Genomic DNA, 16,162 nt, shown 5'->3' on the forward strand with positions numbered 1-16,162 from the left:
AAATGATTTTTGTATACAGATCATGTGAATCTATGGTCTATAATATGTGTTCTATTTTTAGAATCTGGATTATTTAGGTTTTCTGTATTCTACTATCTGTGAATAAAGGTAGTTTTAGTCTTTTATCACCATTTATATATTTTATTTCTTTTTCTTGCCTTATTACACTGGCTAGGACTTCTTGTACAACGTTGAATAGACATGATACTGGGTATTTTATTTCTGACCTTAAGAGTAAAGCTTTCAACACACCACTAATGTGTATAATGTTTGCTGTTGGTCTTTGTAGATATTTTAGAAGGTAAAAAAAAGTTCTATTCTAGTCATTGTTTTCTTAGTTTTATTATTATTGATAGTGTTGAATTTTATCAAAAGAAAATTTTCATCTTTTGCCATTATCTTATCATTTTCTCCCTCTTTATTAATGTGGTGAAATTATCTTGCTTGATATATATAATTTTAATTTCTGCATTATATATAGTTGAATTAAGGCTATGGATACAATCTTTGGATCTTTAGCATAACTGCTTTTGCCAAGTTTGGAAAATTTTTAGACATTAGCTTTTCAGTACTGTTTTAGCCTTATGCTCTCTCTCCTGTTTCTGGGACTCTACACATATACTATATATTTTTTTCTTTTCATAACATCCCATACTTTCCTTAGGTTCTTTTCTGTCCCTTCCTTTTTGTTTGTTTGTTTGTTTTGAGACGGGATCTCACTCTGTCACCCAGGCTGGAGTGCAGTGGCGCAGTCTCAGCTCACTGCAACCTCCGCCTCCTGGGTTTACGCCATTCTGCTGTCTCAGCCTCCCAAGTAGCTAGGACTAAAGGTGCCCGCCACCACACCTTGCTAATTTTTTGTATTTTTAGTAGAGACAGGGTTTCACCGTGTTAGCCAGAATGGTCTCGATCTCCTGACCTTGTGATCTACCTGCCTCAGCCTCCCAAAGTGCTGGGATTACAGGCATGAGCCACCGTGCCCAGCCTCTACTTTTCTTCTTAATTTTTTTAGACTCTTTCTCTGTGTATAGATTTAAAAAATTAAAGAGAAGTATTGCTAACTGTAAGCCCATTTTTTCCTTCTGTCTCTCTTGGATTTTGCCTTTTAAGTTCTAGATACCTCACACTAATTTCTGTCTCTTGATCCTACCATATTTTCCCTACATACCTCATGTGTTTACCAAAGCTATTTTGTTTCTCAGCTTTTTGTGTTTTTGCTTTGGCTTCTGCCTTGTTTCTCAATCTCTCTCTCCAGCAAATGATCTAAATATGAAAGCTGCTTACAGAATGTCAGGTAACCCTTTTGTGATTGACCTCTTTGAGGGATCTTGACCCCTCAAGTCCTGATAGCCTCAGCGACTCTTCCAGTGACTTCAAACGAAGCCTCTCCCTCTTTGTAATTATATCTGTTTTTTTCTAGTTGTTCTCAGTGGGAGTGTTAGTCAGCTACTCTATTGCAGCCACCTCAGAAATTCCCTGTAAATTTGTTTTGATGACTCAAGAGTTTCATGTTGTTTTGAGTGTCAGAATCTGAGTGATTTAACAAGTATTGCATAAGCTTTAATAAAAGCCATAAAAACATGAAAAATGTTTGCTATAATATGTGTGAAATTCTTTAAATAGGCAACCCAAAGGCACTATGCCAGTGGAAGATTTCTTATTTCTGAAAGAATTGGAATGGAAAGGAATCCCAGTTTTTCTGAATCTGAGAACAGATTATATTAGAATATAAAATGGCAAAAACATATAAATATATAGTCACTTAGTATTTAGAGTGGAAAGAATATACTGATCACAGACTACAGGAATTTCCTTTGCAATCCATTGGAGACCTGAAATATTATTTCTCACTAGTTTTCCAGTTAGGGGAGAGGGAAGAAATAGGGTTGTGCTGTGGTCAGATGAGTAGTGAAAGCTTCAATGGCAGCAAGAGAATTCCAGAAGTTGAAAAGTTGCAGATCCATGGGGCTCAGGAACTGTTACCATTGGACAGACTTTTCACTTTTATTCTGCTAAGGGACATTAATAGGCAGTTGGATTTTGCCAAAAAAGAATTAAGATAGTGAATAAGAACTTATTGAAATGATTTTAAAACCCTGTAAATCATTTTCAGGTGAGATTATATTTTAGATGTGAATTAAAACATATCAAACCTATGTTTGATCTTTATTTTATGTATTAATTTTTCAGGACTAGGTCTAGTGTAAAACTAAATATAAACCAAATAACTAAATCAAATATAGAGATTAATATTCAGATACTTTAGATGATAAGAGGGGAACTTATCTATGCTTGTATCTCATGCATTAGGTCTGCATTTTCCTAAAATTATTGTATCCAAATTTTTTAATTGTGTCAAAAACATTACGTATTTACAAATAGGAACATTTTATTTTGAAATTGTGGAGTAAAATTTTTAAAACTAAAATATGTCTAGTATATAAAATTTCATATCGCTATATTTTATTATGAAGGATACATGTATTCATGCTCTAAAGGAGGAATTAGTCACAAATTTTTACATATTTTAGAGACATTAAAAGCTTTGGTATCATTATAGACATTCTAAATAAATCTCAAAAGCACTAATCTACAAAGAGTAACAATTCAGAGAGTCAGGGAGAGAGGATTATAGTTTCAGATGTAACAAGTTATTCACCATTATGGTTTGCATATTGACGGCTGTGGAAACTGTTGACTCATTAGTGACTTACACACTCAAGACAGAGTAAAATTTTGACTCAGCAATTCCATTTCTTATTCAACTGCGTTTATAACTTGACATTATTTAATCAAATAATTATTTTACAGAGGTTATGAACTCTCTGTCTTCCATTAAAGTAAATGTTTTATATCAACTTCTATATATTTATTTATTCTGAACATTATAATATGCCAAACAGTAATTTATTGCTAATATTTTATGGTTTTACCCCCTATGGATATAGAGTTGGGATGGAAATAATCTACCTGAGAATTAGAAAACCCCAAATCAAATCTTTGCTGTCCCACTACAGCATGGGTTAGGTTAGACAAGTCATTTTCTATCACCAGAAATAGAGATTCCACATGTATATTTATTAAATGTTATTTAATTATGTGATTATCTCAATTAACATAACTTCTAAGAATGAGCACAAGGATATTTACATTGCAACATATAATTATACAGCAATTATTATTTTTCAGTTTCGTTCATTGCAAATGCCTGGAAGCAATGGCAACCCAATAGGAATAGACACTACTTATCTATATTATCACCTTAAAATACCATTCCTCATTAAAAGGAATTATAGCTTTTGCAAAGAATACTGGACTTCAGCCATGTGGCAGAAAATATATAAATCAACCTGGAGAATTTCAGTGAGTCAATAATCAAGCATCTGTCAAACTCTGTTATTTTGTGTAAAAGGACACAGAAACCAACATAAATAGCTCACATTTTTCAAATATAGGAGAATAATTTGAACATAAGAAAGAATGATTAAGGGAATTATATAAAACATTAAAATAGGGTTCTGAGTTTATTATGTGATGAGAGATTGAAAGAGGTGGAGATGAGAGAGAGAACAAGGTGGGGCTGGGGGTGCAGGAATTGTAAAGGAATCAAGAAATTCATTGAACAACACCACTGGAGAAATTTGGCACCAACACCTGTTCCTTAAATTAGCAACTAAAATGAAATAATCAAGAATTTAGTCTGAATTTTCCTTATGATTGATAATTCATACTGTCCAAAGAGCTTTGGATGATAAGGGAGGGAAAGTTATTCTTTATGATAATATTTGATCTAATAATAACAAAGTATAATTAAATTTTTAAAAATTGTCATTTTAGGCTGGGCTTGGTGGCTCACACCTGTAATCCCAGCACTTTGGGAGGCTGAGGCAGGTGGATCACCTGAGGTTGGGAGTTTGAAACCAGCCTGACCAACATGGAAAAACCCCGTCTCTACTAAAAAATACAAAATTATCTGGGCATGGTCGTGCATGCCTGTAATCCCAGCTACTCAGGAGGCTGAGGCAGGAGAATCACTTGAACTCCCAGGAGGAGTTTGCAGTGAGCCAAGATTGCACCATTGCACTCCAGCCTGGGCAACAAGAGTTAAACTCCGTCTCCAAAAAAAAAAAAATGTCATGTACAGCTCCAGGTAAAATAAGTGATTTAGGAACTAACTCTCAATTGAAAACAAAGATGTAGAAAATTGACGGAAATGTTCACAATGAAGGGAATATGGTCCATGTTGGTTAGCATGACTAAGATGGTGAAAAAACACTGTATGGTTCCTCATGTGATGTTATATGAAACACAGAATAACTATGTTAGTCTTCTACTCCTATTACAAAATACTAGAAACTGGGTAATTTATAAACAATAGAAATTTATTTCTCATAGTTATGGAGGCTGAGAAGCCCAAGATCAAGTTGTTGGTAAGTTCAGTGTCTAGCGAGAGCTTAGCCTCTGCTTCCAAGATGGCACCTTGAACACTGTGTCCTCCAATGAAGATGGAAGGGCCAGGTAGCTCTCTGATGCCACTTGTTCCATCATCAACTCAAAAGTCTGAAGAGCAGTCTTACCTGAATATCATCTAAATTAGAAATGGGTGACACTCAAGGTATGATTCATTCTGTGACAAATTTCCCTCCAGCTGTGAGCCTGTGAAACCTAACAAGTTATGTGTTTCCAAAATACAGTAATAGGACAGGCATAGGATAGATATTCCCATTTCAAAAGGGACAAATAGAAAAGAAGAAAGGGGTAACAGGTCCCAAGTAAAACAAAATTTGATAAACTGACCATTGGTAAAAATTAAAAGCATTTGATGTTTAAAAGACATCCTTGCAAAAATGAAATCACGTGCACAGAATGAGAGAAAATAATTTATCCATTTATTTTTTCTGAGAAAGGGTCTCCCTTTGTCCCTCAGGCTGGAGTGCAGTGATGCCATCACAGCTCACTGTAGCCTCAACCTCTTGGCCTCAAGTGATCCTCCTACCGTAGCCCCCGAGCTGGGACTACAGGCATGCACCATCATGTCCAGCCGCATTTTTATTTTTCATCGAGAAGCAGGGGTCTCACTGTGTTGCCCTGGCTAGTCTCAAATTCCTGGGCTTAAGTGATCCTCCCACTTTGGCCTCCCAAAGTACTGGGATTACAGGTGTAAGCCACTGCACACAGCCAAAAAGATATTTTTAAGTAGTTATGATAAAGGTACAGAATTTGTGGGGGTGGGGCAGGATACACACACACACACACACACACACACACACACAAAGAAAAATACCAAAATCAAAAACACCTCTTCCAACCCAATACAGTATCAAGAAAGCAGACAACTCAATTAAAATATGGGCAAAAGATTTGAACGGACATTTAGCCAAAGAAAATATGAATTGTCAGCAAGCAAAGGAAAAGATGCTCAACTTCATTAATCACTAAGGAAATGCAAATCAAAAACATGGTGAAATACTTCTACACACCCACTAGAATGGCTAAAACTAAATACATTGACAAAACAATGTATTGATGAGGCCTTGGATCAACTGGAACTCTTGTACATTTCTTGTGGGAATATAAACAAATACAATCTTTTTGAAAAGCAATTTGAAAGTTTTTTTGTTTTGTTTTGTTTTGAGATGGAGTTTTGCTCTTATTGCCCAGGCTAGAGTGCAGTGGTGCAATCTCGGCTCACTGCAACCTCCACCTTCCAGTTTCAAGTGATTCTCCTGCCTCAGCCTCCTAAATTGCTGGGATTACAGGTGCCCGCCACCATGCCCAGTTAATTTTTTTTGTATTTTTAGTAGAGACAGGGTTTCACTCCTGTCTCATGGTCAGCCTGACCATGTTGGTCAGGCTGGTCTAGAACTGCTGACCTCGTGATCCACCCGCCTTGGCCTCCCAAAGTGCTGGGACCACCGGTGTGAGCCACCGTGCCCGGCCTGCAATTTGGTAGTTTTTTTTTTTATAAAAATAAAGCAAATTAGAAGCAAATGTTTTTTAAAAACCAAATCATTGTTATTAAATTATTGATAAGTAATAGATCATTATTCCTCTGAGCTCTTGTGGGAAATTCACACTTTTTGGTATTCAGAATTACAATAAATCCAGAAATAGAAATGGAGAGTTATTTCTGTGATTAGGATTTTTAACACTTCATGGTGTGGCTATTTTTTTGGAAAGGATCTTTTAGAAAGATAATCACAACAAAATGTATAAAATAGATCAAGTTATTTTAAATTTTGTTCACTAACTTTTTTTTTTTTTTTTTTTTGAGACAGAGTCTTGCTCTGCCACCCAGGCTGGAGTGCAGTGGCACGATCTCGGCTCACTGCAACCTCTGAGACCTCAGCTCACTGCAACCTCCACCTCTAGGGTTCAAGCGATTCTCCTGTCTCAGCCTCTCGAGTAGCTGGGATTACAGGCACCTGCCACCACGCCCAGCTAATTTTTGTGTGTGTGTTTTTGTTTTTGTTTTGTTTTGTTTTGTTTTGAGACGGAGTCTTGCTCTGTTGCCCAGGCTGGAGTGCAGTGGCGTGATCTTGGCTCACTGCAAGCTCCGCCTCCCGGGTTCAGGCCATTCTCCTGCCTCAGCCTCCTGAGTAGCTGGGACTACAGGCACCTGCCACCATGCCCAGCTAATTTTTTTTTGTATTTTTAGTAGAGACGGGGTTTCACCATGTTAGCCAGGATGGTCTTGATCTCCTGACCTTATGATCCACCCGCCTCACCTCCCAAAGTGCTGGGATTACAGGCGTGAGCCACCGCGCCCGGCCACTCAAAACTATTTCTTTTAAATCTACGTTTAGAAATTGAATTTCACTTTTCTCATGACATTGGTGAGCATCAACATGTACAGGGTTTTCCCAGTGAGGTTTCTGATTTCTTTGGTATATGTCTCAGAACCAAATAAAATAAACTCCCTATTTTGCTCTTATATGTTGTGAGGACTTGGAAAGACAGAGAAAATAAGTACAATATATTATTCAGTAACTTCCAGTAATAGGTAACAAAACTCATACTCAAAATATTGTGTATTTAAATAAATCGCCACTGACTACAATAATAATTTATATCCTAAATTAATGAGTTCTGTTTGTGTAGGATTCCAAATGCTACTACTTTTATTTATTTATTTATTTGAGACAGAGTTTCACTCTTGTTGTCCAGGCTGGAGTGCAATGAGGCAATCTTGGCTCACCACAACCTCTGCCTCCCAGGTTCGAGCAATTCTCCTGCCTCAGCCTCCCTAGTAGCTCATGCACCACCACGCCCGGCTAATTTTGTATTTTTAGTAGAGATGGGGTTTCTCCATATTGGTCAGGCTGGTCTCAAACTCCCGACCTCAGGTGATCCGCCCGCCTCAGCCTCCCAAAGTGCTGGGATTACAGGCGCGAGCCACTGTGCCTGGCCCCAGAATGCTACTAGTTTTAAGTGATGCCAAAATATTTGCATAAAAGAAAAAACTCAATCATCCATTTATTTTCAAATATTCAGATGTTATTCACATCAAACATCCAGATGTGTTATGAAATTTATTTTTTCTTTGATTTATACTAGATAGCTATGTCTGAATGCAACTAATTAGATCCATATACTTCTAATTTAATAAATAAAATGTAAAAAGATTCGTATGTGGAATAGAAGAATGCATTTGAAAGCTTGCAGTAATGCAGATACAGGATCTATTAATACAATCACCATTTTAGAGCTCATTTTGTAAATATAATTTCAATCATATGGCTTCAATCAATTAAAATACTTTGACTTGGATCCTATTAATGTCTATTTGAAGATATAAAATAATAGCTATGCATTGTTCTAACGTAATCCTCAATTCATGAACATGTGTTACACACATTACATCCTTATTAATGGTAACATAGATCAAAAAGGTTGTATTTATAAATTAAAACACATTTTAGTTCATTCAAAGTATATTTTGCTTATACTGACATGACTAAAAACTACAGCATGTATGCAAAAGCATATGTAATCAAATTCACAGATTCTTCGTGCTCATTCATGTTATTCTCTTTAGCACTCTGTCTGTTGAAAATGAAATAACTGGCCAGGCATGGTGGCTCATGCTTGTAATCCCAGCAGTCTGGGAGGCCAAGATGGGCGGATCACGAGCTCAGGAGATCAAGACCATCCTGGTTAACATAGTGAAACCCTGTCTCTACTAAAAATACAAAAAATTAGCCAGGTGTTGTGGCATGCTCCTGTGGTCCCAGCTACTTGGGAGGCTGAGGCAGGAGAATCGCTTGAACGCAAGAGGCGGAGGTTGCAGTGAGTGGAGATCGTGCCACTGCACTCCAGCCTGGATGACACAGCAAGACTCTGACTCAAAAAGAAAAAAAAAAAAGAAATAACTAAATATTTAAGTGATCAAAATGCAAACAAAGATCTAACTAGGAACTAAAATAATTTCCAGCCCAATATTTTAACCTTTAGCTTACCTTCTTAAGATTTGGACACACCTAACTATGTGTCCTTCTAGATTAGCAAAATATGGAATATAAGTGTTCTTGATAGATGGATGCAGGATATATCTACCTAACATTAGTAAAAACAGATTTGAAAGAGAAACTTTTACATTTGCCATAAGATTACAGAAATGATAAAACAATGGCTTTTAATTTACAGTGTCTGAGCTTTAAAAGATGAAGGATTAAACTTTAGGCATAATTTTTATCAAATCAGCTTTTTCTGTCCAAACCATCTTTATGCTCTATTTGGAATTAAAGAATGGGCCAAATATATTTTTTTCTTGGAAGTAACATGATAATTCTCCAAAGAATCTGGTCACTATCTAAAAGCTTGCCTGGCTTTTATTTATTAAAATATTTTGTACTTGCAATTAACCTGCTCATTCTCAAATATAGACCTTCTCCATCACCAAACCCTTTAACACCAGAGCTCCAGGCAGATTGATAATGAACATTACACTGCTTCACTGCTTTCCTTTTGTATTTTTCTTAATATGGTTGAACTTAAATTATATAACAAGTGAATGTTCAATTTTCATAGTTTTCAATGTCTGGTTATATGTTCTTCAGCATTATAAATTAAGTAAACCAGAGAAATAAAGACAGAAGTACTCAAATGAGTGAATTCAAATTTCTATTAATATCTGATAAAATGTTTATTGGAAAATAGTGTTAAAATCTATAGGTAAATTAAGATTTGCATATCTTTCATTGTATTCATGATTACTATTAATTATGCAGACAAGGGTGGCTTTTGGTAGTGACAAGCTAATTGCAGTTCTTGGAACCAGGTAGATTATTTGGCTCCATTCAGAAATTATATGACGTGTTAATGATTGTCTTCACTGATTTTTCTTCTTAAATGCCCACAGGTAACCAACCAAATAAAATAATTCCAGAGAATAGTACCAACAGGTAGGATAATTTATTCATTTATTAATTCAACTATTTACTGATTACCTACTGTGTGCAAAGCATAGTTCTAGAAATGTAGAAATAAACTAAAACAAACAACAAACTATTTCTTGACTCCTATGACCTAGTGGTGAGGGATAGACAATAGACAGAATAACATTATACTGTATTAGAAAATTCATATTAATATGAAGAATAGAAGGTATGCAAGGTGATAGGAAATATTGAGGCATGTTGCAGTATTATATAAGGTAGCAAGAAGGCCTCTCTATGGATGACATTTCAGGAAACATTTGAAGTAAATTTTCGCATGATTCATTTAGGTATCTAGTCTGGGAGCAGCATCGTGGACAGAGTGGGACAGGATTCAGATACAGGGGCTCTGAGTGGGGAGCTCCTGTCATGTATGAGAGACATGATGGAGTCCTACGTGGCAAGATCAGAGGGAGAAAGAAGAGAGCAACAGAGATGTGGTCAGAAAGGCAATGGTTGGGGGCAGATTAAATAAAGTCCAGATTACTTAATGGTTTGAATTTTTTTTTTTTTTTTTTTGAGACGGAGTCTTGCTGTGTTGCCCAGGCTGGAGTGCAGTGGTGCGATCTCGGCTCACTGCAAGCTCCGCCTCCTAGGTTCATGCCATTCTCCTGCCTCAGCCTCCCAAGTGGCTGGGACTACAGGCGCCCACCACCACGCCCGGCGAATTTTTTGTATTTTTAGTAGAGATGGGGTTTCACCATGTTAGCCAGGATGGTCTCGATCTCCTGACCTCATGATCCGCCCGCCTCGGTCTCCCAAAGTGCTGGGATTACAAGCGTGAGCCACCACGCCCGGCTAATGGTTTTCAAAAGTTCTCTATGAAGTTTATTCATAGTAAAGTTAGTGATTTTAAAACTGAATTATATTCAATAAGAATTAATGCTTCAGCATGAATTTGGAAAATGAGTATTACTTATATTCTTTTCAGGTTAATGGAAATTCCAGGCAAGGGAATACTATAGTGCGCTGTCCCTGTCCTTGCCTTATGAAAAGGTATATTGATGGCTGGGCGCGGTGGCCTCACGCCTGTAATCCCAGCACTTTGGGAGGCCAGGCGGGCAGATCACCTGAGGTAAGGAATTCGAGACCAGCCTGGCTAACATGGTGAAACCCCATCTCTACTAAAAAAAACAAAATTAGTTTGGCATGGTGGCACACGCCTGTAATCCCAGCTACTTGGGAGGCTGAGGCAGGAGAAACGCCTGAACCCGGGAGGCAGAGGCTGCAGTGAGCCGAGACCACGCCATTGCACTCCAGCCTGGGCAACGGAGTGAGACTACATTTCAAAAAAAAAAAAAAAAAAAGGAAAAGTATATTGGCAATTTGGGTGAAAGCATGGAAATAATATTTATCATATCTCAAGTTTAAATAAAGCAAGAAATGGCTAATATAAAACACTAAGCTCAAATAACTAGAACCAAACTTAGAAAAATAAATACAACTGTATTTCATTTCAAAATAACAAATTACATAATTTAGGAAATTTCTATTGATAAGAAATCCAGTAACATTAGAAAAATAACATTCAGATCATGAGACGTAACTGTCTCTCGTACTTCTCTTGTCGCATCATCGGGTGTATTGTGTTTTATTCTTGGAAACACATTTTAAGAGGACACTAATAAACTGCATTATGCCAAGTAGAAGATACAATGGAAATTCAGGATGATAAGGGATCAGGAAACAATTTTATAAATTATGCAACATATTAAATATAACTCCAAGATTTTACCCTTGTACTCCAACCCCTACTGATAGTCTATTGTCAACACTGCAGCAGAGCTCATCTCTTAAAAATATGTCACAAAATGTCTCTTCTCCTCTTAAAACTCTACAGTAGCTCCACAAAGTCCTTACAAGTGTCTGCAAAGCTGCATATAACCCTTCCTCCATCACCCCTCTTAGCTTGTTGGCTTCTACAATCTTCCTGTTTGCTCACTCTGCTCGGGTCACTGTGGCTGCTTTGCCGCTTTGCGTAAGGTTGTTCTTTCCACCTGGAACACTCTTCCCCAGTCACACGGCTAATCTCCCTCATTCTTTCAAGCCCTTGTTCGAATATCACTCCAAAGAAACCTACTCAGGGCACTCTATGAAACTTGCAAGCCATCCTTTTTCCTGAATCCCCATTCCTTCACCTGGCATTCGTTTCCACAGGACTTACCGATATTTAAAAATTATTTAAATATTTCACTTATTGACTATGGTTGTTGTTATGTTTGATTTGTTTGTTTTCAGCTATCTCTCTTTGCTAAAATGAAAGCTCCATAGGCGCAAGGGTCCTCTTTTTGTTCATGGATCTGTCCTGAATTCTCAAAATGAAATAGGAAATGTAGTAAGATGTCAATAAATACTTTTAAAGTGTCGTTCTTTCAACAAAAAAAAGACAAAGCCTTATGATGTTAGAAGTCCCTTAATAAAAACTGTAGTAGATTTAAACTTTCACTGTATAGTATAGTATAGACCAATAAAGCAATAACAATACAATGATGAAAATGTTTGCCACAGTATCCAGGTTAGTAGCCACTAGTCACATACGGTTCTTGAGCACTTGAAATGTAGCTGGTATGGCTGAAGAACTGAATTGTTTATTTAAGTTTAATTAAAATTTACATTTATATAGCCACATAGGCTAGTGGTAACCTCATAGGAAAATGTAGCTCTAGAAAGCATAAACTAAAGCCACTGAGTAAAGGTTAATGTGAAATCGTTTTGTTGAATTAAGGAAGAACATCCCAATCAGAGTTATCCAAAAATGGAATGGGCTGTCTCACAAATAGAATGAGCTCTACCTCAACAAAGTAGTTTCAACAGTGGCTAGAGGGTTACAGAATTGTTACTGCAGAGATATATGCCCAGGTAGGTTTTTTTGTTTGTTTTTGTTTTTTTGTTTTGTTTTATGAGACGGAGTCTTGCTCAGTTGCCCAGGCTGGAGTGCAGTGGCCTGATCTTGGCTCACTGCAAGCTCCGCCTCCTGGGTTCACACCATTCTCCTGCCTCAGCTTCCCAAGTGGCTGGGACTACAGGCACCTGCCACCATGCCCGGCTAATTTTTTTTTTGTATTTTTAGTAGAGACGGGGTTTCACCATGTTAGCCAGGATGGTCTCGATCTCCTGATCTCGTGATCCACTCGCCTTGGCCTCCCAAAGTGCTGGGATTACAGACGTGAGCCACCGTGCCTCGCCATGCCCAGGTAGGTTTGATGCACTACTAAGTTAATGTAATTTCCAAATTCAGTGCCCTATTATGCTTTTTAGAGCTGAAATCCATGTCTACTGAAATGTGTTTAGTAATCCTATAATGGAAGAAAATACAGTATTCCAAAAGTAATAAGTAGTATACTTATTTATACTTATCACTTTAAACAATTTTTTCTTTAAATTCTGTTAGTGAAGGGCAATGGAGAATATATATACACACACACACACACACACACACACACACACATATAAAAGATAACAGAACAAAACAGTTGTTTTGTCATCACTTTTGGATATGAAGCCAGGCTCTTTAATGTAATATAAGGAGTGTGGACTTTAGAGTCATAGCGAGAGTCATGGAGGCTCCAGATACTCTGAGGAATTACCATTCTCTGATGGTTGAAGACTACTACATGTCCATCAGTGTCGGTCTTCTTTACTTTCATAGTAATAGAATTGTGTCTAGCTATGGCTGCCCACCCAGGAAAAACATGTCCCTAAGTCTCTGCAGTAGTCGTTGATATGGGACTAAGCTCTTGCCACTGCAGTACAAAACAGAAGTAATGTGTGCAACTTCTGCTTTGCTAATTTAAGAGGGAATCTTTAGCTCTAGCCATCTGTTCTTTGTCTCGTTCCACTGGCTAAAATGGCAATAATCAAAGAGACCTTGAATTTTTTTAACAATGTGAATATATTATTTGTTCAATAAGTTAAAAACACATCTATTACATTTTAATCTATATCGGGACTAGTTAATAACATAGAAAACATAAGGTGTTTCCCTCAAAGCAAAAAAAGTGTTTTAAGTATCTGATTTTCTCAAAATCAAAACTGTTGTGATTTCTTTCTCAACAATCTAATGTTAGATTTGCAATACAAAGTTTGGCAATAGTCCTGATACAGTGATGAACATGACAGGACAAACTTTATGATTGCTACTATGACTGGTGACTTTACTTTTTAATTTGAAAAGCTTCATATGCAAAAGGAAAAGTCTATTTAAAGCAATGGCAAAGGCACTGGTGGGCAGGTGCCTTTCTTTTTTTCCTATATGGTACTTAGTGTTTGATGACGACAAACACACTTAGATTTAAGACTGTAATTTTAGATGGCATTCAAAGGATATGAATCAGTTTCCTGATACAAACATGTAATTAAAATCAAACAATGAGAATTGTTAAACATGGCATTGCCCAACAGATTGTTTAATGATGGACTTCCTTTCCCCCCTAGTTGAAAGGTAAGGGTTCGTTGCAACTATTCAGTAGTCTAAATACAATTTGTGACTTAAAATATTTTTCAAAAAAAGTGTTCACCTTCTGTCTATATTTTCTCATGGGTGAATGTCAGGATTAATAGACATTTTATTTATTTATTATTTATTTATTTATTTTTTGAGATGGCGTCTTGCTCTTTCAACCAGGCTGGAGTGCAATGGCGCGGTCTCGGCTCACTGCAAACTCCACCTCCTGGGTTTAAGTGATTCTGCTGCCTTAGCCTCCCGAGTAGCTGGAACTACAGGCATGTACCACCACACCTGGCTAATTTTTGTACTTTTAGTAGAGACGGGGTTTCACTATGTTGGCCAGGCTGGTCTTGAACTCCTGACCTCGTGATTCGCCTGCCTCAGCCTCCCAAAGTGCTGGGATTACAGGCGTGAGCCACCGTGCCCAGCCCAATAGGCATTTTATTAAGCAAAAGTGTTTTTGTTTGTTTGTTTGTTTTGTTTTGTTTTCCCACCAAAGTTTGCCAAAAGTCAAAGGTTAGCTGAAAAGACTCATTGTATTTCTGATATAATGAATTGTAATTAGGGTACCTAAAGTTTATCATAATAAATAGGACATTTAGTTTATAATATAAGCAGATGGAAAAGTTTACCCAACTTACCTAAAAAGATAGGGTTTTGTATTGTTGCCATTTTCTATTATTCTATTCTCCAAGTTTAACAAAAACACATTCAATTCCAGTACTCGTTAGAAGTTTTAGCAAGTTATTGAAATCATATATAATCAGGTCTGTTTACCCAGGAGAGTACTAAAATCCTGAAGATTTTCTCTTGGGTAAAATAGTCTATCATTTTAAAAGGATCTGAAAGAATTCCTAAAACATTTGACATGCATTAAGTTACAAGGTTATAAATGAATATATTCCAATATGCTAGTAGAACAAAAGTCAACTTTCTAAAACATATTCTTAAGGCAAATTCTACCAAACATACAGTGATTATAAAGATAAGGAGGCAGGTAGAAGAGAAAGATAATTATTTATATGTTTAATCTTTGTAAATAAATCAAGTCTATGCTATAAACCTCAAATCCTCCAAGAAAATGAACAAATGCATTCAGTTTCAAAATCACTTTAACTCATTTCTCCTAAAACTTCTCTAATTCAGTCACACCATAAACCACTCCTTAGTTTCCTACTTTAACATTTGCCTTCTGATACCACAAACTGAACTGCATAAATCAAGAAGGCAGAAATGGAGGAATATTGGAATATACATAATGATTATGCAATAAAAATGAGATTCAGGTTTTGGAATAATAGTCCAATCTATTTTAATTTTTTTGCTTTGGTTTTTAGAAGACTTTTTCCATAAACACAAAAGTAGATTTCTTTAGATTTGAGGCATTTTTAAACCTCTTTAGCTGAGTAGTCTCGGAATTTTTATATTTATCTTGTAAAAATATTAAGCAAGGGTGATTTCAGTTCCATCTCACTTTATATACTCTGAATAAAAATCTAGATGATGAAATAAATTAACAAACAAGACGGATTTGTATAGCCGGGTGCGGTGGCTCACGCTTGTAATCCTAGCACTTTGGGAGGCTGAGGCGTGTGGATTGCCTGACTTCAGGAATTCAAGACCAGCCTGGGCAACACAGTGAAACCCCGTCTCTACTAAAATACAAAAAAATTGGCCGGGCATGGTGGTTCACGCCTGTAATCACAGCAGTTTGGACTTTGGAAGGCCGAGGCGGGTGCATCCTGAGGTCTGGAGTTCGAGACCATCCTGGCCAACATGGTAAAACCCTGTCTTTACTAAAAAAAAAAAAAAAAAAAGAAGGATTTGTATATTGTGTTAATTGTGCAAAGTGTTTTTAACTTATAAAAGCAGATAATGGGTTTCCAGTTGAGAAAAGATGGTGTAAATTCATTTCTTTATGTTCTTCCATGCAAAGTGAAACTATAAACCCTGAAAATAACACCAGAGGCAGACAAAGGAGAATTTTGAAACATGTAATAAGGAAGACAGAATGACTAGAGAACTCAAGACTGGAAATTCAATATTTTAAGGTAGCTGAGTACCTTAAAACCCTTACCCAACAGAAAAAGATGATCTAAGCCCAAGCCAGTAACAGAAGGCAGTCCACCTAGATGAATTCCTCCACCTGAGTGTCCAATAGATCAACAGGTGCAAAACCAAGATGAAAAAAGGTGCTAGAATTATCTGACGAGGAATTTAAAGCAAGGATCACAAAAATGCTTCAACAAGCATTTTTGCTATTTTTTTATTACTAGGC

General features: G+C 36.8%; 1 annotated feature.

The window, feature by feature from the left end:
* Positions 1,100 to 1,603: an enhancer, noted in NCBI's record as "NANOG hESC enhancer chr7:80642207-80642710 (GRCh37/hg19 assembly coordinates)". NCBI's record gives its function as "activates a minimal SCP1, AML or CMV promoter by ChIP-STARR-seq in naive H9 embryonic stem cells {active_cell/tissue: H9 hESC(naive)}" and the evidence as "EXISTENCE:reporter gene assay evidence [ECO:0000049][PMID:30033119]".

This window comes from Homo sapiens, chromosome 7, assembly GCF_000001405.40.
Source record: "Homo sapiens chromosome 7, GRCh38.p14 Primary Assembly".
NCBI lineage: Eukaryota > Metazoa > Chordata > Mammalia > Primates > Hominidae > Homo > Homo sapiens.